The sequence below is a fragment of the Homo sapiens genome, chromosome 19, assembly GCF_000001405.40.
Source record: "Homo sapiens chromosome 19, GRCh38.p14 Primary Assembly".
NCBI classification, from domain to species: Eukaryota; Metazoa; Chordata; class Mammalia; order Primates; family Hominidae; genus Homo; species Homo sapiens.
The window spans coordinates 44,574,134-44,598,802 of NC_000019.10; the positions used below are offsets into that span (position 1 = coordinate 44,574,134).

At 46.9% G+C, this 24,669-nt stretch overlaps 5 annotated features.

Moving 5' to 3' along the window:
• Positions 2,848-3,142: a silencer, noted in NCBI's record as "tiled region #3461; K562 Repressive DNase unmatched - State 12:CtcfO". NCBI's record gives its function as "represses a minimal TATA promoter and a strong SV40 promoter by Sharpr-MPRA in K562 cells {active_cell/tissue: K562}" and the evidence as "EXISTENCE:reporter gene assay evidence [ECO:0000049][PMID:27701403]".
• Positions 4,164-4,695: an enhancer, noted in NCBI's record as "H3K27ac-H3K4me1 hESC enhancer chr19:45081555-45082086 (GRCh37/hg19 assembly coordinates)". NCBI's record gives its function as "activates a minimal SCP1, AML or CMV promoter by ChIP-STARR-seq in naive H9 embryonic stem cells {active_cell/tissue: H9 hESC(naive)}" and the evidence as "EXISTENCE:reporter gene assay evidence [ECO:0000049][PMID:30033119]".
• Positions 15,318-15,817: an enhancer, noted in NCBI's record as "H3K27ac hESC enhancer chr19:45092773-45093272 (GRCh37/hg19 assembly coordinates)". NCBI's record gives its function as "activates a minimal SCP1, AML or CMV promoter by ChIP-STARR-seq in primed H9 embryonic stem cells {active_cell/tissue: H9 hESC(primed)}" and the evidence as "EXISTENCE:reporter gene assay evidence [ECO:0000049][PMID:30033119]".
• Positions 19,550-20,375: an enhancer, noted in NCBI's record as "NANOG-H3K27ac hESC enhancer chr19:45097005-45097830 (GRCh37/hg19 assembly coordinates)". NCBI's record gives its function as "activates a minimal SCP1, AML or CMV promoter by ChIP-STARR-seq in naive H9 embryonic stem cells {active_cell/tissue: H9 hESC(naive)}" and the evidence as "EXISTENCE:reporter gene assay evidence [ECO:0000049][PMID:30033119]".
• Positions 22,027-22,851: an enhancer, noted in NCBI's record as "H3K27ac-H3K4me1 hESC enhancer chr19:45099482-45100306 (GRCh37/hg19 assembly coordinates)". NCBI's record gives its function as "activates a minimal SCP1, AML or CMV promoter by ChIP-STARR-seq in naive H9 embryonic stem cells {active_cell/tissue: H9 hESC(naive)}" and the evidence as "EXISTENCE:reporter gene assay evidence [ECO:0000049][PMID:30033119]".

Genomic DNA, 24,669 nt, shown 5'->3' on the forward strand with positions numbered 1-24,669 from the left:
TCCTCAACCCCTTGGTCCCTCTGATTCCTTAATTATCCCACAGCATGGGTACCTGGTGACCATGAAGTCACCAGACCACACTGAGATGTCTGTATCAGTTACTTATCACCATGTAACAAACCTCTCTAAAACCTAGGAACTTCGAGAGACAGACAAAAATGCACAAGACTTGTTGTGGCCTGGGCTCAGGACTGCCACTTTATTATTTCTACCTCATTGTTTTGGTCAAAGCAAGTCATGAGGTCAACCAAGATTCAAGGGTACAGGAAAACAGGCTCCACCTGTTTGTGGGAGAAGCTGTAAAGTCACATTACAAGGTGCTTCGATACAGAGAGTAGAGAATCGGAGCCGTGTCTGTGATCAACCAACCACAACTTATTTTACATGAGAGAGAACTACACTCCTTTATTAACTAAACCACTGTTATTTGAGTTTCTATTTTATGCAGCTGAACCAAATCCCCACCTGACATAAAGAGTGTTGCAAATGGAGAGAAGAGTGTAAGCAAAGGCCCGGTGGTGGGAGGCTCATGACACTTCAAATCACTGAAATAAGTGAGGGGGTGGATTTCGGGGTGAGAAGATAAAGTCAGGCAACTGCTGCCCACCAGCACGGTGTTTCCTGCTCTTCCCAAGAGAGACTCACACATTTGACAACAGTTGTTACCCACGCATCAGGTGGGTTCAGACACTTGGCAGGTATCAACCCAATGACTGCAACCAAAGAGGATTTAGCATGGGGATTTTATTACTTGCAACAAGTAAAGAGCACACTAGGGATAGTTCCCAAAGCAGTAACCTCTCTGAGCTGGGGTGCCGCGGACCTATTGGACTGAACAAAGTGGGGCAAACATGGGAATAAAAGACAAGAGACAAAGAAGTATATTTGGAAGAAAGGGTCAGGGGGCACCTTGCCTCTAGTGGACAAGCGCCCTGAGCTTTACACGGCCCTCCATATTTATTAGGCAAAAGAGATAGTGAGAAAGTGGGGAGTGATTGTCGAGTAATTGTCAGTCGGGCGTTTGGTTCACAGCAGGCTTTCGAGATTGCATCCTTTGAGCAATAGGCGCTAATATTCTCAGTAGATAACTTCAAGGAGCCCGGAGCCCGGGAATGATGTCCCTCAGCAAACCTTTTGGTGGCAGGGCAGTGTGAGTTTGCCCACATCCTGCATTCATGATAAACAGTTTGTTATTTGATCATATAGCCTCCAGCGGAATGCTGAGTTGGTCACGATCCCTTTGGCCTTTTCGGCTCCCAACACTGGGGGCAGGGTCAGGATTTTTATAAGCATAGGGTAAGGAGGCATGATGTGATTGGATCTTGCAATGAGGTGATGCCAGGAGGCATGATCTGACTGGATCCTGCCATGATGGGGTGATGCCAGGGCTTGATCTGATTGGCTCCTGGATCCTGCCATGTTATGTCTGCTTCTTAATTCTGTCCCTGCTCCTTGGTCCAAATGCTTAGGTTCCCCTGTGGTTGCGTACTTGGTTCACCTGGGCATGCTCAGTTTATGTGACCTGAGGGTCCATGGCAACCTAAAAACAACTTACAACTTTGTTACATAAAAGTTGAACCAGATTGTACTGCTACATAATCACACTGTAACTCCTGGAGCAGGATCTGGTTCAACCTGCATTTATTAAACACATGATGGGTGGTGGATCTAATGCTGCAGGAGTTAGGGATGAAGGCGGGGTTCCAAGTGTTAAGAATTTCCTGGCCGGGCGCAGTGGCTCACGCCTGTAATTCCAGCACTTTGGGAGGTGGAGGCAGGCAGATCATGAGGTCAGGAGATCAAGACCATCCTGGCTAACACGGTGAAACCCTGTCTCTACTAAAAATACAAAAAATTCGCCGGGTGTGGTGGCACGGCACGCGCCTGTAGTCCCAGCTACTCAGGAGGCTGAGGCAGGAGAGTTACTTGAACCCAGGAGGTGGAGGTTGCAGTGAGCTGAGATTGTGCCACTGCACTCCAGCCTGGGCAACAGAGCAAGACTCCGTCTCAAAAGAAAAAAAGAATTTCCGGCTGGGCGTGGTGGCTCATGCCTGTAATCCCAGCACTTTGGGAGGCCGAGGTGGGCGGATCACGAGGTCAGGAGTTCGGAACCAATCTGACCAACATGGTGAAACCCCGTCTCTACTAAAAATACAAAAATTAGCCAGGCATGGTGGTGCATGCCTGTAATCCCAGCTACTCAGGAGGCTGAGGCAGCAGAATCGCTTGAATCCAGGAGGCGTAGGTTGCGGTAAGCCGAGATCGCGCCACTGCACTCCAGCCTGGGTGACAGAGCGAGACTCCGTCTCAAAAGAAAAAAAAAAAAAAAGATGATCATGATGGTTTAGGGGGTTGAATGGTGGCCCCCTAAAAAAAATATGTCCACCCAGGACCTGAGAATATGGCCTTATTTGGAAAGGGATCCTCGTGATGTAATTAAGTTAAAGATCTTGAGATGAAGTCATGCTGGATTGTCCAGCTATGCCCTAAATCCAATGACAAAGTGTTGTTATAAGAGAGAGAAGAGGAAGGCCGGGCAAGGTGGCTCATGCCTGTAATCCCAGCACTTTGGAAGGCAGAGATGGGCAGATCACCTGAGGTCAGGAGTTTGAGATCAGCCTGGCCAACATGGCAAAACCCTGTCTCTACTAAAAATACAAAAATTAGCCAGGCATGGTGGCAGGTGCCTGTAATCCCAGCTACTCGGGAGGCTGAGGCAGGAGAATCGCTTGAACCCAGGAGATGGAGGTTGCAGTGAACCGAGATTGCGCCACTGCACTCCAGCCTTGCAACAGAGTGAGACTCCATCTCAAAAAAAAAAAAAAAAAAGACAGAGAGAGAGAGAAGTGGAGAAGACACGGATACACAGATACACAGAGGATAAGGCCATGTGAACACTGGGGCAGGGACTGGACTGATGCAGCCATCAGCTGAATAACACCTGGGGCCACCAGAAGCTGGAAGTGTCAAGGGAGGTTCCTCCTAGAACCTGCAGAGGGAGCTCGGCCTATGCACACCTTGATTTCAACTTCTGCCCTCTGGAGCAGTGAGAGAATAAAATGCTGTTGTTTTAGGTTAACAAGTTTGTAGTATGAGGTTGGTACAAAAGTAATTGCAGATTTTGCCATTACTTTTGCACCAACCTAAATAATTTGCCAAAACCACCGCTGGAAACTAGTATGGATGGTAACAGAAACGTGTCTGTGGGACCAGATAGTGTAATAGGCTGTTCAGGAGGGGAGGTGATGAGCTTCCTGTCACTTCAGGGTTAAGGATGGGGACCTTCTCAGGAAGTCTTGTTTTCTAATTGAGATTTCTTCCCCATCAGAAGCATCTCAAACCTAAAAGACATTAGGAGTTGCCTCTGTTACATGTCGAATCCACAAACCAGTCTCTTCCCTTCTTACCTCCCCTCCTTCCCAACTGGTATCTTCCCTGCACACCCCTCCAGGCCCCTCTTCCTCAAACACCATTGTCCCCAGGACTTCAATGTCTACCCTCCCCTTGGAAACCTTTAGTAATATAAAATCACCAAAGCATCTTAAAACAATAATGCCCAGTGTGGGCAAGGATGTTCAGAAATGGGCACTCTCATGTACATTTCATGGCAGGCTACATTGCCACAATAATTTCGAAGGGCAATTTTATGCCATGTATCAAGAATTAAAATCTGACTTAGCTATTTTATTTTCAGGAATTCAGCCTGAGAAAATAACCTGTGATGTGCAAAATAAATTTATACACATGACCCTTCCTGATCTATCCATTGGCCCTGTCCCCAGTCCTGTCTTTTGCTGATCACTTGCTTGAACAGCACATGCCATTCAGATTAAATCCACATCATGGAGAATGTGCACTGTTTTTCTTTCCTCTGGGCTTTTTACATTTGTAAATTCCTGCCCTCCCCTTGCCAATTAACTCCTGCTCTTCCTTCCAGGATAAATTCAGATGTCACCTCCTCCAAGAAGCTTCTTGGCCTCCTGGGAGCAGATTGGGTACCTCCTCAGGGTCCCTAAGTGCCCTCCCTTATTGCTCAAAAGGCAATGCTATGGGGTGATTAACAGGGAAGATTCCAGAGCCAGTCTCTGATTCTAACACCTGCTTTACATGGCTATGTGACTCTGTGACTCTGGGCAATTTACCCACATCTCTGGCTATTCTCTCTCTCTCTCTCTCTCTCTCTCTCTCTCTCTCTCTCTCTCCTTCTCTCTCTCTCTCTCTCTGTCTTTTGAGACAGAGTCTCACTCTGTTGCCCAGGCTGGAGTGCAGTGGTGTGATCTCGGCTCACTGCAGCCTCCGCCCCCCAGGTTCAAGTGATTCTCGTGCCTCAGCCTACCAAGTAGCTGGAACTATGGGTGCACACCACCACACTCGGCTAATTTTTTGTATTCTTAGTAGAGACAAGGTTCACCATGTTGGCCAGACTAGTCTCGAACTCCTGACCTGAGGTGATCTGCCCACCTCAGCCTCCCAAAGTGCTGGGATTACAGGCTCGAGCCACCATACCTGGCCTGTTTTCTCTTAAACACTTATTAATCGTTTGCTGTGTGCCGGGAACTGTTCTGTGTGCTTTACAAATGGCAATTCATTGAACCTCCCAACAACCCTGTGAGGCAGGGGTTAGAGCTACCCATTTTGCAGATGAGGAGACTGAGGCCTTGAGAGTTTAAATGGCTTGTTGAAGTTCACACAGTGCAAATTGCAGAGCCAAATCTGAATCCATGGCATCGGCGACTATACGGTGCTGCCTCTGGGCCTCCATCCTCATCTGGAAAATGGGGCCCATAGTAACAGTGTCATATCGTTTGGATGTTTGTCCCCTCCAAATCTCATGTTGAAATGTGATCCCCAATGATGGATGTGGGCCTAGTGGGAGGTTTTTGGGTCATGGGGCAATCCCTCATGAGGCTTTGGCGCCATCTTTGCGGTAATGAAGGCATTCACGCTCTGTTCATTCATGCAAAAGCTGGTTGTTTAAAAGAACCTGGCAGGCCGGGTGCAGTGACTTATGCCTGTAATCCCAGCACTTTGGGAGGCTGGAGCAGGAGAATCACTTGAGCCCAGGAGTTCGAGACCAGCCTGAGCAACATGGTGAAACCCTGTCTCTACAAAAATTAGGCAGGCATGGTGGCATACACATGTAGTCCCAGCTACTTGGGAGGCTGAGGCAGGAGGATCACCTGAGCCTGGGAGGCAGAGGTTGCAGTGAGCCAAGCCTGCACCACTGCACTCCAGCCTGGGTGACAGAGTGAGACCCTATCTCAAAAAAATAATAATAAATAATAAAAAAATAAAGGCTGGGCACAGTGGCTCATGCCTATAATCCCAGCACTTTGGGAGGCCAAGGTGGGCAGATCACCTGAGGTGATCAAGACCAGCCTAGCCAACATGGTGAAACCCCATCTCTACTAAAAATACAAAAAAGTAGTTTGGCCTGGTGGTGGGCACCTGTAATCCTGGCTACTTGGGCGGCTAAGGCAGAAGAATCACTCGAACCGGGGAGGCAGAGGTTGCAGCGAGCCGAGATTGTGCCATCACACTCCACCCTAGGCAACAAGAGTGAAATTCCATCTCAAAAAAAAAAGAGCCTGGTATCTCTCTTGCCTCTCTTTCACTAGGTGATACTCAGCTTCCCCTTCACCTTCTGCCATGATGATAGGCTTCCTGAAGCCTCATTATGAGCTGAGCAGATGCTGCCATGCTTGTACAGTCTGCAGAACCATGAGCCTAATAAACCTCTTTTCTTTGTAAATTACCCAGCCTTAGGTTTTCCTTTATAGCAATGCAAAGCAGATTAATTCACAGTGCCCCCTTGTAGAGGAGCTGAGAGGACTAGACTGTTTATGTCAAGCTCCTGGAGCAGGGCCTGGCCCATCCTCAGTGCTCGGTAAGTATCAGAGAGTATCATCAGTTACGGGACTATCCTATTTTCCTACCTTCTTTATCGTTTCATCATTTCTGTTCATCATCGCCTAAAGCCTCCTGCCTACTATTTTCCAGGCTCTCAAAATGGGGTTTCTTTGATTTTCATAGCAGCCCGAAGGGGAAGTACAATCATTGCCCCATTTTGCAAATAAGGAAATTAATCAGAGAGGTCAAGTGACTTACCTCAGATCACACAGATGACAGAGGTGGAGCAAGAAATTAATTTGGCTTGTCCTACTCAAAGATTCCCTGCCCTGCAACTTCCCCTTTAAGACATGATTGTTTAATAGAGTGAGTCTGGGACAATGCACATTTGTCAGGTACGCAGGCTCTGGGAAGCTGGAAATGGGACCAGCCAAGACTAGAGCTCTGATATAACCTCTGAGAAATGCCCTCCCCAACCTCAGTTCTCAGCCACACCCTCACCTACGAGCAACGCTCCCATCCAGGGCTCACCCCAGCCATGGGGAGCAACCAGGAACCGGGCCATGGGTCCTTTAGGAGTGCTTCCTCCTAGAAGGACATTGGTTTGCGGAGAACAGACTGCAAGAACCCCAGAGTGAGCCGATTTGTGTGTCCTGCCCGGAGCCCTAGCCCAGAGAGGAGATGGCCCAGCCTTCTGTCCCCATGATGAGGGCCGTGCCCATGGGGCATTGGTGGCCAGCCAGGGAGGGACTGGCACAGCCCTCTTCGGTTTACAACTGTTCAATGTCTCATTAACTTCTCCTCTTTGGTCATGTCTCTGGCCCAGCATTCGTGCCCTTTGCTCTTCCCAATCATCCTCATGGTAGGCAAACGTGGGAGGGCAGGGGACTGCATGCTCCCCTCCTGGCTTCCTGCTGTATAAATGGGGAAACAGAGGCCCCAGGAGAGCAAGTGATCCCCCCAGGACCATACAAGGAGTCTGAAATCTGGCCCTGACTGGATTCCAGTCTTTGGCTCAAGCCTCAGCCAGAAGTCTCATCCTGCATATCTGGCCCAGTCTGAAGACTCAGGTGGGAGACAGGAAATGAAAATCTTCAGGAGCTTCAGGGAGGCTCATTGGAAAGAAAAGGAAACTTGTATTTACTGAGAAACCAGCTTTGCCGATGCAACAGCAAATCCTGAGCTCAGCGTTCAAATTTCTCCAGAATCCAACCACTTCTCACCAGCTCCACCCACACCAGCACCATCTCCCACATGGACCATTGCAGTAGCCTCCTCACTGGGCTCCCTGCTCCTGCCCTCCTGCTAACACCTAAGTTGTCTCATGTCCCTTGCCTGCTCAGAGGCTTCCTGTGGCTTCTGTCTCACTCAGGAAAATGCCTAAGTCCCAACACTGGCCTGCAAGGTCCATGGTCTGGCCCCATCCCTGCCCCACCCTTATCTCCCGCTTCCTCCCTTACTCCCCGCTCTCCAGCCACACTGGCCTCTCCACTGTTCATCAACACTCAGGGCACAGTCCTGCCCCAGGGCCTTTGCATTTGCTTTACTTTCTGCCCCAAACACTCTTCCCAAGATAGCCACATGGCTTTTTCCTTCACCACAGTCAGGACCCTGTTCAGATGTCACCTCTTCAGAGAGGCCTTCCCTGGCTGTCCTGTGTACAGCCTAGCACTTCCTGTCCCACCTGTCTGGTTTATTTCTTTCCAACACACTCATCGCCGTGTGACACTCTCCACTGATTTGTGTTTGTTGATTGCTCTCCCTAATATCAGTCCCTTAAAGGCAGGGATTTCTACCTGGTTTTTTTAATTCTATTTTATTTTTTTAGAGATGAGGTCTTGCTATATTGCCCAAGCTGGTCCTAAACTCCTGGGCTCAAGCGATCCTCCCACGTTAGCCTCCCAAGTAGGTGATTCTACAGGTGCAAGTGACTGTACCTGGCCCCTCTGCCTGTTTTGTTCACTCTTGTAAATGCCCAAAGCCTAGCGCAGTGCCTGGCACATGGTAGGTGTTCAATAAATATTTTGTGAATGAATGTGTGAGACCCTGCACTGAGCAGTTGAATCCAAATTAAGTGCAAGTTTCCATCCCCATGGCCATCAGGCTAGAACAGAGAGGCTCAAAAAGCCCCCCAGCCACACACCCTATAAGGGGAGGAGTTGGTATTTGGACCCACATCTAATGCCAAAGCCTGCATTCTTAACCACTGCATTACACTGCTCCTGGATTTAGGGATTTTACTGATGAGACCCACAGAAAGTGTAATAGCCATCCCCACTGATGCCCCTCCCTTAGTTAACGAAGAAATCTCAAAGATAAGAATCAAAGGGCCAGGCGGGGTGGCTCATGTCTGTAATCCCAGCACTATGGGAGGCTGAGGTGGGTGGATCACCTGAGGTCAGGAGTTTGAGACCCAGCCTGGCCAATATGGTGAAATCCTGTCTCTACTAAAAATACAAAAATTAGTATTGGCATGCCTGTAATCCCAGCTACTTGGGAGGCTGAGGCAGGAGAATTGCTTGAAGTGGAGGTTGCAATGAGCCAAGATTGCACCACTGCACTCCAGCCTGAGTGACAAGAGCAAAGCTCCATCTCAAAAAGAAGAAGGAGAAGGAGGAGAAGGAGAAGGAGGAGAAGGAGAAGGAGGAGAAGGAGAAGGAGAAGGAGGAGAAGGAGAAGGAGAAGGGGAAAGGGAAGGGGAAGAGGAGGAGGAGGAAGAAGGAGAAGGAGGGGAAGGGGAAGAGGAGGACGAGGAAGAAGGAGAAGGAGGGGAAGGGGAAGAAGAAGAGTAAGGGGAAGGGGAGGAGGAGGAGGAAGAAGGAGAAGGAGCGGAAGGGGAAGGGGAAGAAGAAGAGGAAGAGGAAGAAGAAGACGAGGAAGAGGAGGAGGAGGACGGAAAAGAAGAAGAAAAAAGAAGAAGAAGGAGGAGGAGGAGGAGGAAGAAAGAAGAAAGAAGAAAAGAAGATGATATAGGAAGGATATAAGGACCCAGAGCAAGCCCAGGCACAAGCAGATGCCTTGAATATTCTTCCCAACTCTGAGCTGAGACGTCGTCCCCGCTTGGCCGAGGGCAGCTCTGCCCCCTGTTGGTCACTCATGGCAACGGCCCCATTGGTGTCCCAGGACAACAGCGTTGACAAGGATAACCCAACTGGCAAGTGCTCAAAATCCCTAATATACACAGAGTTCCTGAAAAGCAACAGGAAAAAAAGAGACAATGCATTTTTTCTTTTAGATATAGGGTCTTGCTTTGTCACCCAGGCTGGAGTGCAATGGCATGATCATGTCTCACCACAGCCTAGATCTCCTGGGCTCAAGTGATCCTCCAGCTACAGCCTCCCAGGTAGCTGGGACTACAGGCCTGTGCCACCATGCTGGGCTAATTTTTAAAACTTTTTGTAGAAATGAGGTCTCACTATGTTGTCCAGGTTGGTCTCAAACTCCTAGGCTCAAGCAATTCTCCTGCCTTAGCATCCCAAAGTGCTGGGATTCAACACAATTTTTTAATTGGCAAAGTACATGAATAGGCAACTCACAGAGGACATCATCTTCAAATGACTATCAAACTTAAGAAGAGATAGGCAGCTTCACTAGCGATGGAAATGTATTTTAAAACCACCTTGGGATACGAATGTTTATATGTACATGGAGCAAAAAAAAAGTGAAATATTAATTATATCCAGCAACAGGAAAGAGAACTGTTATAAACACTGTTCAAGTATTTGGTGGCCATTCACTGGCACTGGCTTGTACCCCTGCTGAGCTTGGGGGACAAGGAGCCACAGTGCGGAGCTTTGGGCGTCCCAGTCCACACTTCTGCCTCTGCACTCTCTTATTCCCGTGTGTGTGTATCCCTCTGTTGTAACACCCTAGCTCTCAGCAAGTGACAGGAAAGAGTCTAAAAGGCAAAGTTAGGGACAGGACAGGACCCTGCACCTGTGTTAATCACACCCCTTCACCCTCCAACAGGGCAGAAGCAACTCTCAATGCTATACTGCCTGTCCTAGCTTTGGCTGCCGTTTTTTTTGTTTTGTTTTTGTTTTTGTTTTTGTTTTTGTTTTTTGAGGCGGAGTCTTGCTCTGTTGCCCAGGCTGGAGTGCAATGGCTCGATCTTGGCTCACTGCAACCTCTGCCTCCTGGGGTCAAGCAGTTCTCCTACCTCAGCCTCCCGAGTAGCTGGGACTACAGGCGCCTGCCACCATACCCAGCTAATTTTTGTATTTTTAGTAGAGATGGGGTTTCACCATGCTGGCCAGGCTGATCCCAAACTCCTGACCTCATGATCTGCCCACCTTGGCCTCCCAAAGTGCTGGGATTACAGGCATGAGCCACAGCGCCCAGGCTGACTGCTGTTTTTTAGGCTCCCTGTGGTGGTGGGGAGTGTAGGGGTTGGTCAGGTAATGCTAATGGAAAAGAAGGGCAGACCCCAAATCTCTCCCCACCCGTGGCACCAGTCTTTCTACAATGGGAATGCTCCCACCCACGACTTCACCCTCATCCAGAACCCAACCACCTTCTGTTGCCTCATTAGTCCTGCTTCCAGCTTCTGAGGCATCTCCAGGGCTAGTGCAGGGGAAAGAGCCAGCAGAAAGGCCTGGACTGCCGTGATGCATTTTACCTTGTTTGTAGACATGGACTGAAAAGCTGCAAGACCAGCAATTATAAATGAGAATACCAGCTAACCTGTGAGTGGTTACTCTGTACCAGGCACTTTGCTAGGCATGCCACATACATGATCTCCTTTAATAACATAACCCATGATAACCCATGATAGGCCAGGTGCGGTGGCTCATGGCTGTAATCCTAGCACTTTGGGAGGCTGAGGTGGGTGGATCACCTGAGGTCGGGAGTTCAAGACCAGCCTGGCCAACATGGCAAAACCCCATCTCTACTAAAAATACAAAAAATTAGCCAGGTGTGGTGGCAGGCACCTGTAATCCCAGCTACTCTGGAGGCTGAGGCAGGAGAATCGCTTGAACCCAGGAGGCGGAGGTTGCAGTGAGCCAAGATCACACCAGTGCACTCCAGCCTGGGTGACAGAGCAAGACTCTGTCTCAAAAAAAATAAAATAAAGTGAAGTAACATAACCCATGAAAAACCTATATCGTAATCTCTGTTTTACAAAAGAAGAAACAGATGCTCAGCGAGGTATAGTAATTTGCCAAATGTCACTCTGCTAGAAAATAGCTGAGCCAGAATTCAAACCCAGAGCTTGTACTTTGAAGCATTTCCAATTTGCTCTTTGAACCAATTTGGAGGCTTTCATTTCTGGAAGCCAGGCTGTTGACAGCTTTCACTTCTTATACTTTTTCCCACCTAGAAAGGTCTGGCTGGGTGCAGACCAAATATGATTCTGGTGTCAATTTGAACAGACTGAACTCAAGTCCACATGGACCCTTCAGGATGGTCCAACTGGGAGAAGCCCTGAGGGTCACACAGAAGGGCCTCTCCACCTTCAACAAGTCTCCTGAGGATGAGGGCAGTGCACTTACCACTCAGCAAAGCCACACATGCATCCTCATTAGAGGGGCACCCTCTCTGCTGGAGAACCGGCAAGTCTCAAAATTGGGGCTTAGTCCAGGAGGGTTCTTGCCTTTGCCCAGGAAAGAATTCAAGGGTGAGCTGGTGGCGTTAGACAGCAATCTTTTATTGCACAGTACTGCTCCTTGCAGAGCAGGGCTATCTCATAGGTAATGTGCTCAGAGCAGGCAAGGTAGGGACTGTTGCCAACTGTATTTATACCCACTTATACCAACTTTCACTTACATGCAAATTAAGGGGTAGGTCAATGCAAATCGAGAGGTGGGTCATTTAGAATTTTCTAGGAAAATGGTGGTAAATTCCGGGTGATTTCCACACATTTGTAAACTGTCATGGCTCTGGTGAGAATGTCTTGTGCTAATGCACAATGAGGGCAGCTAAGGATTGCTTTTGTTGCCATCTGCTGGTTCCTGCCAGTTTTTTCATTCTGTCCCTTCAGGACTGAGAAATAAGTCCTGCCAACCTATCTCCTACCTCATCTTTTCCTCAGCCCAGTCGGGGATGGTGGGTGACTAAGAACCAGACTGGTTGGAAAAACATGCTGTGATTTAAACCTGTAATCTCATTCTGGATTTTTATAGCAGACAAGCCAGTTGGACATGCCCAGTCTTTTTGCCATAAAACCCCAATGTGCAAGGGAGACCAGACCAACTCCATTCTAGCTGAGGAGCCCCTGGCTGGGCTGCCTCTGGTCCATATTTTGCATCTCCTTATATCAAGTCTGAGCATTGTCTTCCAACCCACGGAGTTCTTGAATGATGGAGCCCAGCCTCTTGATGGGTATTGGCACTCAAGCTGGGCTCCTGGGAACCCCACATGGCCGCACCCCTCTCCCATGATGGGGGAGAATCTCCTCCCTGGACCCTCCCTGTGGGGGCATCAGAATCTCTGGGGCAGCAACAGGGCTGGAAGAGAAGCCTGGACTTCTCCAGAAACTGTGTCTGTATGGCCAGCACATGTTTTCACTTCCCATGGGTATTTATATGAGTGAAGGGCAGATATAGAGTATTAAGAGAATAAGGATCCTAAAAGCCTCCTTGGAGTCACCAAGGTCCTCCACAGTCCCTACAACCTTTAACTCCTCAGCTCCCCTCACCCAGGGAAATTCCAGTCAAATAGACTGAACCACACAAGTGGCCAAATAATTTCAGGGAAGTTTAAACCCCTTTCAGATGCGCTAGTTGATCATATCTTGCCAGTTATCCTCAAGCTCCCCAAGCCTTCCAGCCACCTCCAATAACTTCATAGAAACCACTGGTTGCTAATGATCACGGAGTCCTGGACTCCTTTGAAAATGCATTGAAAGTTGTGTGATCCTGGACTGAAGCTTCAGGCCCTTCCTCAGAATATGCAGATGTATGCACAATGCTTCACACAATGTCAGGGATCCTTTCCAAGGAAATTTACACCCAGACATATCATCATCCAACTGTGGAAAATCAAACACAAAGAAAAATCTCGAAAGCATCCAGAGAAAACTAAACACATCACTTATACCAAAACAACAATTCAGATGATGGCAGATTTCTCATCAGGAACCATAGTGGCCAGAAGAAAGTGGCACTTTTTTTTTAAGTGAAAGCAAATTTATTAAGAAAGAAAAGGAATAGGCCAGGTGCAGTGGCTCATGCCTGTAATCCCAGCACTTTGGGAGGCCAAGGCAGTGGCTCACGCTTGTAATCCCAGCACTTTGGGAGGCCAAGGCTTGAGGCCAGGAGTTTGAGAGCAGCCTGGGTAACATGGGGAAACCTTGTCTCTACAAAAAATACAAAAATTAGCTGAGCATGGTGGTGCATGCCTGTAATCCCAGACACTTGGGAGGCTAAGGCATGAGAATCAGGAGGCAGAGGTTGCAGCGAGTCAAGATTTGCCACTGTACTCCAGCCTGGGCCACAGAGCAAGACTGTCTCAAAAAAGAAAGAAGAAAGAAAGAGAGGAAGAAAGGAAAAAAGAAAAGAAAGAAAGAAAGAGAGAAACGAAGAAAGAGAGAGAAAGAGAAAGAAAGAAAGAAAGAAAGAAAGAAAGAAAGAAAGAAAGAAAGAAAGAAAGGAAGGAAGGAAGGAAGGAAGGAAGGAGGGAAGGAAGGAGAGAGAGAGAAAGAAAGAAAAGAAAGAGAAAGAAGAAAGAGGAAGAGAGAGAGAGAGAAAGAAAGAAAGGAAGGAAGGAAGGAGGGAAGGAAGGAGAGAGAGAAAGAAAGAAAGAAAAGAAAGAAAGAGAAAGAAGAAAGAGAAAGAAAGAGAGAAAAGGAATAAAAGAATGGCTACTCTATAGGCAGAGCAATGGCATGGGCTGCTCAACTGAGTACACTTACAGTTACTTCTTGATTATATGCCAAACAAAGGGTGGATTATTCATGAATTTTCCTGGAAAGGGGTGGGCAATTCCTGGAACTGAGGGTTCCTCCCCTTTTTAGACCATATAAGGTAAGTGCTAGATGTTGCCATGGCATTTCTAAACTGTCATGGTGCTTGTGGGCATATCTTTTAGCATGCTAATGTATTATAATTAGCACATAAGGAGCAATGAGCATGACCAGAGGTCACTTTTGTCGCCATCTTGGTTTTGGTGGGTTTGGCTGGCTTCTTTACCACATCCTGTTTCATCAGCAAAGTCTTTATGACCTGTATCTTGGTGGCACATTTTTTAAGTGCTGAAAGGAAAACAACTGTCAACCCAGAATTCTGAATCAAGTGAAAGCATTCTTTAGGTTTAGGAGTGAAGGTGAACATTGAGGTTAGCTCGGTTTCACCTTGAATATGTCTTAAATCCCCTATGCATGCAGTGAATGTGGTTTTATACATAAAATGTTGTACAGCAGTAGCTGTATGCATACTTACAGTGTGTACAGAGATGCTCAGTACCCAACAGGACAAATCTGCAAAATACAGCTTCACCATTGAGCCATAGATGGAGCTGCTGCCTCAAATTAGAGCTGTATTTCCACCTGTTTCTATAGTTAAAATTTCATAAATTAAATGTGTGTATGATGCAAGTCTACTGCAATTCCTTTACTAGAGAGAAGTTGCAAGAACCAATGATCCCTGTTTCTTTATATTCATGCCCTCATCTAATTCCTTCCCCCTGAGTGTGGGCTGTACCTAGTGACTCATTTCTAATGAATGAAGTACAGCAGAAAGTGATGGCTGTCACTTCTCAGATTGGGTTACAAAATGGCTGTTGCTTCTATTTTCAACTTCTCTCTCACTCTGTCTTGAATCACTTTCTGAGGGGAAAGCTACCTGCCAGTAGCAAACACCATCTGAGTGAGCTTGGGAGCAGAACAATCACCCCATACCCTCATCCCAAGTTGAGCTTTTGAATGACACTGCAGCCCCCGTCCAGTAGCTTGATCGCATCAGAGGGAAAAGACCTGGCTAAGCTGAGCCCAGATTCTTGACTCAAAGAGACTATGAGATAACAAATGTTTTATTGTCTTAAGCCACTACATTTTGGAGTAATTAGTCATACATCAATAAATAACTAATGCAGGTGGCCTTCTGGGACACAGAGGAGGATGGAGAAGGTTGAATATCAGAGAGCAGATCTTGGGGACAAAAACACAGAGTCCTCATCACAGGTTATCATGCGAGCCCAGAAAACAAGCATCTAACATCTCATCAATAATATGTTCCCACACACCACCAATACTTTTACCAAAAAAAGTACTAATAGCTAATATTTCAGTTTGTATTTTCTAAAATTGACTCCATATGGCTTTCCTTTGGTGGAAAAGGAAAAAGAAAATTTGTCTCTGTCATTAACTTAATGTGATGTGTCAAATTTTATTTTATTTTATTTTATTTATTTTTTGGAGCAGGGTCTCACTCTGTCACCCAGGCTGGAGTGCAGTGGTGCAATCTCAGCTCACTGCAACTTCTGCCTCCTGGGTTCAAGCAATTCTCATGCCTCACCCTCCTGAGTAGCTGAGATTACAGGCACACACCACCATGCCCAGGTCATTTTTTTTGTATTTTCAGTAGAGACAGGGTTTTACCATGTTGGCCAGGCTCGTCTCAAACTCCTGACCTCAAATGATCCACCCACCTCAGCCTCCCAAAGTGCTGGGATTACAGGCATGAGCCACCACGCCTGGCCAATGTGTCAAATTTTAGATGAGGACACAGAGAACAGGACAGAGGACCTGAACTTTAATAATCATTCTCATATCAAATATGGAAACCACGTTGTTACGGTTTAAATGCTTGTCTCCTTCAAAATTCATGTTGAAACTTAATAGGCAATGTGGCAGTATAGAAAGGTGGGACCTTTAGGGGGCGATTGGGTCATGCAGGTTCTGCTCTGATGAATGGATTAATCCATTCATGGGTTAATGGGTTAATGAATTAATAGGTTATTATGAGAGTGGCATTAGTAGCCTATAAGAAGAGGAAGAGAGACCTGAGCTAGCATGGCCCCTTGTCATGTGATGCCCTGCACTCTATAGACTGCAGAGAGTCCACACCAGCAAGAAGGCTCTCACGAGATGTGGCCCCTTAACCTTGGACTTCTCAGCTTCCATGACTGTAAGAAATAAGTTCCTTTTCTTTATAAATTACACAGTTTCAGATATTATGTTATAAGCAACAATTAGAAAATCTTTAAATCCACCTGGGACCTGGAAGCCCCCTCTGCGGCTTCAAGATGTCCTGCCTTTCTGAGCTAAACCAATGTATACCTTACATGTATCAATTTATGTCTTTGCCTATAATTTCTGTCTCCCTAAAATGTATAAAACTAAGCTATAACCCAACCACCTGGGCACGTGTTCTCAAGACTTCCTGAGGCTGTGTCATGGATCATGATCCTTAACCATGGCAAAATAAAATTCTAAATTGATTGAGACCTGTCTTAGATACTTTTTGGTTTGCAGCTGCAACCAAATGTCAGCCAGAGTTGCTGTCTCATCTGAGGCTCAACTCGGGAAGGATCTGCTTGGAAACCAGGGCGTTGGTAAGGGAGTAGACCACCCTTCATATTGTCTTATGTCCAATTTCTCCCTCCAAAGAAAGAAGAAGTAAAAACTAAAAGGCAGAAATGAAATCCACAGGCAGACAGCCCGGCACCACACCCTGGGCCTGGTAGTTAAAGATCGACCCCTGACCTAACCAGTTATGTTATCTACAGATTCCAGACATTGTATGGAAAAGCATTGTGAAAATCCCTGTCCTGTTCTGTTCTGTTCTGATTACCGGTACATGCAGCCCCCAGTCACATACCCCCTGCTTACTCAATCGATCACAACTCTCTCACACGGACCTCCTTGGAGTTGTAAGCCCTTAAAAGGGACAGGAATTGCTCATTAGGGGAGCTCAGTTTTTGGAGACGTGAGTCTTGCCAAAGCTACTGGCTGAATAAAGCCCTTCCTTCTTTAAGTCAGTGTCTGAGGGGTTTTGTCTGTAGCTTGTTCTGCTACATTGGCAGCATTCAATTGCTAACTGGTTGTAGGACTGAGGATCTCCATTTCTTGCTGGATTTTGCCCACATGGGCCTCCCAACATGACCACTTGTTTCCTCAAAGCCAGCAAGGGAGAGAGTCTCCTGGAAAGATGACTCTATGTTACAGAATTGCCAGAGGTGTTCAGACCAGAGCAACTAACACAGGAGACAGAAATTATTTAGGCAGATAGTGAGGGCAAAAGAGCTCTCAGCAGAACTTCCCTTCTAACAAAAAGTAGCCCAAGAAATCATTTTTCCTAACAAAGAGCAGCCTGAAAAATCGGGCTGCAAACATAAATAAGGAAGCTAGAAGCTTGCATGGGGGAGAGCCAGCAGCTGCACCAATAGAAAAGGGCTACCTGGGAGGGGAACATCACATACTCGGACCTGTCAGGAGGTGGGGGGATGGCGGGGAGAGCATTAGGACAAATACCTAATGTATGCGGGGCTTAAAACCTAGATGACGGGTTGATAGGTACAGCAAATCACCATGGCACATGTATACCTATGTAACAAACCTGCATGTTCTGCACTGTCATGCACGTCCATGTGAAGTGACCACCAAACAGGCTTTGTGTGAGCAATAAAGCTTTTTAATCAGCTGGGTGCAGGCAGACTGAATCCAAAAAAGGAGTCAGTAAAGGGAGATAGGGGTGGGGCATGTTTATAGGATTTGGGTACATAGTGGAAAATTATAGTTAAAGGGGATTGTTCTCTTGCGGGCAGGGGTGGGGGTCACAAGGTGCTCGGTGGGGAGCTCCAGAGACTAATTGTCCAGGAGAAGGAATATCACAAGGTAATGTCATCAGTTAAGGCAGGAACCGGCCATTTTCACTTATTTTGTGGTTCTTCAGTTGCCTTAGGCCATCTGGATGTATACATGCAGGCTTGGGCTCAGAGGCCTGATGTGCACATGTATCCCAGAACTTAAAGTAAAATAAAAATAAAAATAGATTCTAAAAAAGAAAGAAAAGGGCTACCTGCGGGGCAGGCATGTCCACCATGAAAGCTCAATCTTCCCTTTTTTGTTAGCAAGTATACAGTAAGAAAGAAATGGATAACATTGTGCAGCTCAGGCTGAAAACCCACCTGCATAATAAGACTGGGGTGGGGGCTGCCAGAAATTCATGCCCTGTGCAAATGGAACACCTGGTCCTAACCAGTTTCTTACACCCTATGTAGAGCAGGTACTGCCTCCCCACCAGCTCATCTATAAAAACCCCTGCATTTCACCATGGACCAGCAACCTATTTTTCTGGGACCCCCTCTCTGTAACAGACAGCTATTCTCTCTCTTTTGCCTATTAAACTTCTGCTGTCAACCTCACTCTTTTCTTTCCCCCCAGGGGAAAGTGTAAACGCAGTCACCCACTACCACAAATTATGCAGTAACCTCACTCTTTGTGTGTCCGTGTCCCAGTTCTCCATGGCCGTGAGACAACAAACCTCAGGTGTCACCTCAGAAATGAGGCCATTTCACAACTTCATCTTGTACAGGAGCTGGGTAAAATAGGGCTGACACTTCCTGGGCTGCATTCCCAAGAGGTTAGGCATTCATAGTCACAGGATGAGATAGGAGGCCAGCACGAGATAGGAGGCCAGCACAAGATAGGAGGCAAGCACAGGTCACAAACACCTTGCTGATAAAATGAAATGTGGTAAAGAAGCCAGCCAAAACCGAGATGGTGACAGGACTGACCTCTGGTAGTCCTCACTACTCTAATTATAACACATTATTAGCATGCTAAAAGACACTCCCACCAGCATCATTACAGTTTACAAATGCCATGACAATGTCCACAAGTTATCCTATGTGGTCTAAAAAGGGGAAGAACCCTCAGTTCCAGGAAATCCCTGCCCCTTTCCTGAAATACTCATGAATGACCCACACCTTGCTTAGCATATAATCAAAGAGTAACTGTAAATGTACTCAGCCGAGTAGCCCATGCCACTGCTGTGCCTATGGAGTAGCTACTCTTTATTCCTTTACGTTCTTAAAAAACTTGCTTTCACTTTATTCTATGAAAAAAATAGGCTGGGTGCAGTGGCTCATGCCTGTAATCCCAGGACTTTGGGAGGCTGAAGCAGGCGAATCACTTGAGGTCAGAAGTTTGAGACCAGACTGGCCAACATAGTGAAACCCCATCTCCACTAAAAATACAATAAATTAGCCAGGCGTGGTTGTGCGCGCCTGTTGTCCCAGCTACTTGGGAGGCTGAGGCAGGAGAATTGCTTGAACCCGGGAGGCGGAGGATGCAATGAGCTGAGATCGTGCCACTGCACTCCAGCCTGGGCGATAGAGTGAGACACTGTCACACACAAAAAAATAAAAATAAAAATAAAAATAAATGTATGGACTGCTTTGACGAGTGGAAGAAGTTGGGAGTAATGCCCTCAACTACTCTAGTGAGGTCATAAGACAAAAATAAAATAAATAAAAATATAAAATAATAAAATAGAAATAAATGTAAAATAAAATAAATACAAATATAAAATAAATGTATAATAAAATAAATACAAATATAAAATAAATGTAAAATAAAATAAATACAAATATAAAATAAATGTAAAATAAAATAAAAATGAATAAAGTAAATTAAAATAAAAATAAATTATTTTATTTTATATGTTGAAATAAAAAGGTTTTATATGTTGAAATCCTAATGCCCAAGGTGATGGTATTAGGAGATGAGGCTTGGGTCAGTGATGAGATCATGAGGGAGGAGCTCTCATAATGGGATTGGTGCCCTCTTATAAAAGAGACCCCAGGGAGACCCTCATCCCTTCTGCCATGTAAGATCCATCCAGTGCACCGAGAACTGGGGTGCTTCAAAATGAGCAAGGATCGTGTTGGTTCTCAGAGCCAGATTTGGCTCCAGCCCCTTTAGCATTGGTCCTTTGCCTGCTGAGTTCCCTCAACCAGGCTTGCCTTTCCTTCTGTTCTGCACTCCCCACCCACTCCTGCTGGCTGGAACTCAGCTGAGCCTTCATAGCTGAACAACGAGTGAATGAATGAATGAACAATTGAAGACCCAGCTTCCTGCTTCAAGCAGGAAGTCACCCCCAGAACACTGGGCTTTCCCATCTTCTGGCCCAGATAGCATCAGTCTTATCTCCTTTACTGACCATAAATTTCTGTGGGGAAAAGCAAGAGAGATCAGATTGTTACTGTGTCTGTGTAGAAAGAAGTAGACATAGGAGACTCCATTTTGTTATGTACTAAGAAAAATTCTTCTGCCTTGAGATTCTGTTAATCTATAACTTTACCCCCAACCCTGTGCTCTCTGAAACATGTGCTCTGTCAACTCAGAGTTAAATGGATTAAGGGCGGTGCAAGATGTGCTTTGTTAAACAGATGCTTGAAGGCAGCATGCTCCTTAAGAGTCATCACCACTCCCTAATCTCAAGTACCCAGGGACACAAAAACTGCGGAAGGCCGCAGGGACCTCTGCCTAGGAAAGCCAGGTATTGTCCAAGGTTTCTCCCCATGTGATAGTCTGAAATATGGCCTCGTGGGAAGGGAAAGACCTGACCGTCCCCCAGCCCGACACCCGTAAAGGGTCTGTGCTGAGGAGAATTAGTAAAAGAGGAAGGAATGCCTCTTGCAGTTGAGACAAGAGGAAGGCATCTGTCTCCTGCCTGTCCCTGGGCAATGGAATGTCTCGGTATAAAACCCGATTGTATGCTCCATCTACTGAGATAGGGAAAAACCGCCTTAGGGCTGGAGGTGGGACCTGCGGGCAGCAATACTGCTTTGTAAAGCATTGAGATGTTTATGTGTATGCATATCTAAAAGCACAGCACTTAATCCTTTACATTGTCTATGATGCAAAGACCTTTGTTCACGTGTTTGTCTGCTGACCCTCTCCCCACAATTGTCTTGTGACCCTGACACATCCCCCTCTTCGAGAAACACCCACAGATGATCAATAAATACTAAGGGAACTCAGAGGCTGGCGGGATCCTCCATATGCTGAACGCTGGTTCCCCGGGTCCCCTTATTTCTTTCTCTATACTTTGTCTCTGTGTCTTTTTCTTTCCTAAGTCTCTCGTTCCACCTTACGAGAAACACCCACAGGTGTGGAGGGGCAACCCACCCCTACAATTTCCCAAGCACAAACACGAGGCCTGACACATGTGGACGTCCCCCTCTGCGTCCCCCTCTTATTGAATTTATTTTCTGTGCCAGGGACTTTACACGCCATGTGTCACTGAGTGCTCACAATGACACAGTGAGGTAGAAGTTATCGTCATCCTTCCACAGAGGAAGAAAGAGGATCGTGTGCACAAAGTCACCTGCCCAAGACAGTTGGAAGGACAATGCAGGTGTAAGCCTAGGACATTGATGTGGAGCCCCAGAAGAACATGTATTCTGGCCGGGCACGGTGGCTCATGCCTCTAATCCCAGCGCTTTGGGAGGCTGAGGAGGGTGGATCACCTGAGGTCAGGAGTTCGAGACCAGCCTGGCCAACATGATGAAACCCCGTCTCTACTGAAAATACAAAAAAATTAGCTGGGCATGGTGGTGGGCACCTATAATCCTAGCTAATCAGGAGGCTGAGGCAGGAGAATTGCTTGAACCCGGGAGACAGATGTTGCAGTGAGCCGAGATCTCGCCACTGCACTCCAGCCTGGGCAACAAGAGTGAAATTCCACCTCAAAAAAAATATTCTATAGGCTTATATATAAGCCTATAGAATAGGACAGCTTCACTGTGTGCTTTTTTTGCAGTGTGAAAAACATGCTTTCATGAAGGGATTGACTAAGGGATGTGGAGCAGAGGAAGGAGGAATGAGGTGCGCCTGGGGGTAGGGGCACTTTTAGAAGAGGTCATAGTTAGGGGCCAGGGACGGGAGAGTGATCACCAGGAAAGAAAGGAAAGGGAGCTGCCTTTGCGGGCAGCCAGGAGGACTTGAGTGGGGCTTAGGAGGAAGGCAGCACTGGGATATTTGTTTGGCCGACCCATTCAACAGCTATTCCCAGACCCGATGGCTCAGGCTTGTAATCCCAGCAATCAGGGAGGCTGAGGCAGGAGGATTGCTTCAGGCCAAGACTTCCGGACCAGCCTGAACAACAAAACAAGATGGTGTCTTGTTCTGTCACCCAAGCTGGAGTGTACTGGCATGATCTCTGCTCACTGCAACCTCCACCTCCCAGGTTCAAGAGATTCTCCTGCCTCGCCTCTGAGTAGCTGGGATTACAGGCACATGTCACCAAGCCTGGCTAATTTTTGTATTTTTAGTAGAGACAGTGTTTCACCATTTTGGCCAGGCTGGTCTCGACCTCCCAGCTTCAAGTGATCTGCCTGCCTCAGCCTCCCAAAGTCCTGGGATAACAAGCGTGAGCCACTGTGCCCCACCTCAAAAATTCTTTTAAAATAGGCTAAGTGTGGTGGCGCACACCTGTGGTCTTGGGAGGCTGAGGTAGGAGTATCTCTTGAGCCCAGGAGTTTGAGGTTACAATGAAGTGATTGCTCCACTGCACTCCAACCTGGGTGACAGAGCAAGACTATGCCTCAAAAAAAAAAAAAAAAAATTAACGAACACTCCTGCCAGTTGGAACTCAGCTGAGCCTTCATAGTTGAATGTTGAATGAAAGAATTAATGAATTAATGAAGCCAGGCACTGTGCTGGGTGCTGGAGATGTGGCAGGGTGCAGGACCAAGTCCCTGCCCTTGAGGAACTGACGTCCAGCTGGGAGACAGCCAATGAACAAGGCAAATGGGTAAATTACAGGGTCTGTCTGAGGATGGTCAATGCCATGGAGAAGGCAGGAACGGGGAAGGGAGATGAGAAATGTTACAATGCTAGGAGGTTGGAGGAGGAGATGCTTGAGCAGACCTGGAGGAGGTGAGGGAAGAAGCCAGGGCAGATCCGGGAGAGGACCATCTAGACGGGAGGGCGTCCCAGGGCAGAGGTCCACTTGGAGCTGGAGGGTAGCCTGGCTGTGTGAGGAACAGGGATAGAGGGTGTGGCTGGAGGAAAGTGAGTGAGGGGAGAGGGTAAAAAGAGAGGGCGGAGAACTGCAGGGCGGGAGGGGGCGGGTGTGGATTAGACAGTCACTGTGGACTTTGGCTTTGACTCAGCCTGAGACTGGAGCCTTTGAGCAGAGAAGGGGCGAGATATGATTTAGGCTGTTTGTTTGTTTGCCTGTTTTTGAGATAGTGTCTCACTCTGTCACCCAGGCCGGAGTGTAGTGGCAGGATCACAGTATTGGCTCAAGCAGCTTCAACCTCCCAGACTCAGGTGATCCTCCCACCTCAGCCTGCCAGGTGTGCGCCTGTAGAAAATATCTGCAAATCATATTTTTTTTCTTTCTTTCTTTCGTTCTTTCTCTCTTTCTTTCTTCCTTTCTCTCTCTCTCTTTTTCTTTCTTCTTTCTCTTTCTTTTTCTTCCTATCTATCTCTCTCTTTCTTTCTTTCTTTACTTCTTTCCTTCTTTCTTTTTCTTTTGAGAAAGGGTCTTGCTCTGTCACCCAGGCTGGGGGGCAGTGGTGCAATCACAGCTCACTACAGCCTTAAACTCCTGGGCTCAAACAATCCTCCCACCTCAGCCTCCCGAGTAGCTGGGACCACAGGTGCGTGCTGCCCCATGCCTGGCTAATTTTTTAGATTTTTGTGAAGATGAGTTCTCACTACGTTGCTTAGGCTGGTCTCAAACTCCTGGGCTCAAGAAATTCTCCCAACTCAGCCCCACAAAGTGCTGGGATTACAGATGTGGGTCACCATGCCCAGCTGCACATCATATTTCTGATAAGAGATTGATATCCAGAATATATAGAAAACTTCCAGAATACAACTATTTTAAAAAAAAATCCAATTTTTTTAATGGGCAAAAAGAACTTGAATAGACATTTCTCCAAAGAACATAATAAATGGCCAATAAGTACATGAAAAGATACTCAACTATCCCTAATCATTAGCGGAAGACACATCTAAACTACAATGAGATATTGCCTCGCAGCTATTAGAATGGCTACCATCACAAAAACGAAAATAACAAGGATTGGCAAGGATGTGGAGCAGCAAACAAGGAAACCTTGTGTGCTGTTGGTGGGAACGCAACCTAGTATGGCTGTTGTAGAAGACAGTATGGTGGCTCCTCAAAAAATTAAAAATAGAGGTTGGGTGTGGTGGCTCATGCCTGTAATCCCAGCACTTTGGGAGGCACTTTGAGAGAGAGAGGGACAATGAGAGAGAGAGGTCCCTGAGGGGATTGGAACCTCTGGTTCTGGGTGTCTCTGTGCTCTCCTGTCTTGGAACTCATTTATAACAAATTTCCCTTTGTGTGTAAACTGCCTCAAGTTGGACTCCTGCCATATAGACCCAAAAGAACCTTAAGAGCTACACCTGCCCTGACAGGATGCATCCTGCATTCCTCCTCCCAGAGAGAGCATTTTGTCAAGACTAGCTTCAGCTGCAAGTAACAGAAAACCCCAAAATCAAATGGCCTCAACAAGATGGAAGTTTCTCTTTGACATAAATGGAGTCTGGAGGTAGAGAGTTCAGGGCAAATGTGGCAGTTTCATAATCCTGGGGACACAGCCTCCTTCAATTATTACTGGCCTGTCATCTTCAGTACATAACTTGGGGTCCAAGATGGCTGCCAGAGCTCCAGCCATCATATCCACATTCTGTTCAGTAGTGAAAGGATTAGGAACAAAAGCTATCTTTAAGGCCAGCTCCTAGTAGCCTCATATAACACTTCTACTTCTATCTATTGGCCAAAAGTCAGCCACATGGCCACACTTAGCTCCAGGGAACCTAGAGAATATATTTTTTGCTGGACTCCCATGCATCCATTTAAAAATCAGGGTATGTATTACCAAGGACATAGAGGATGT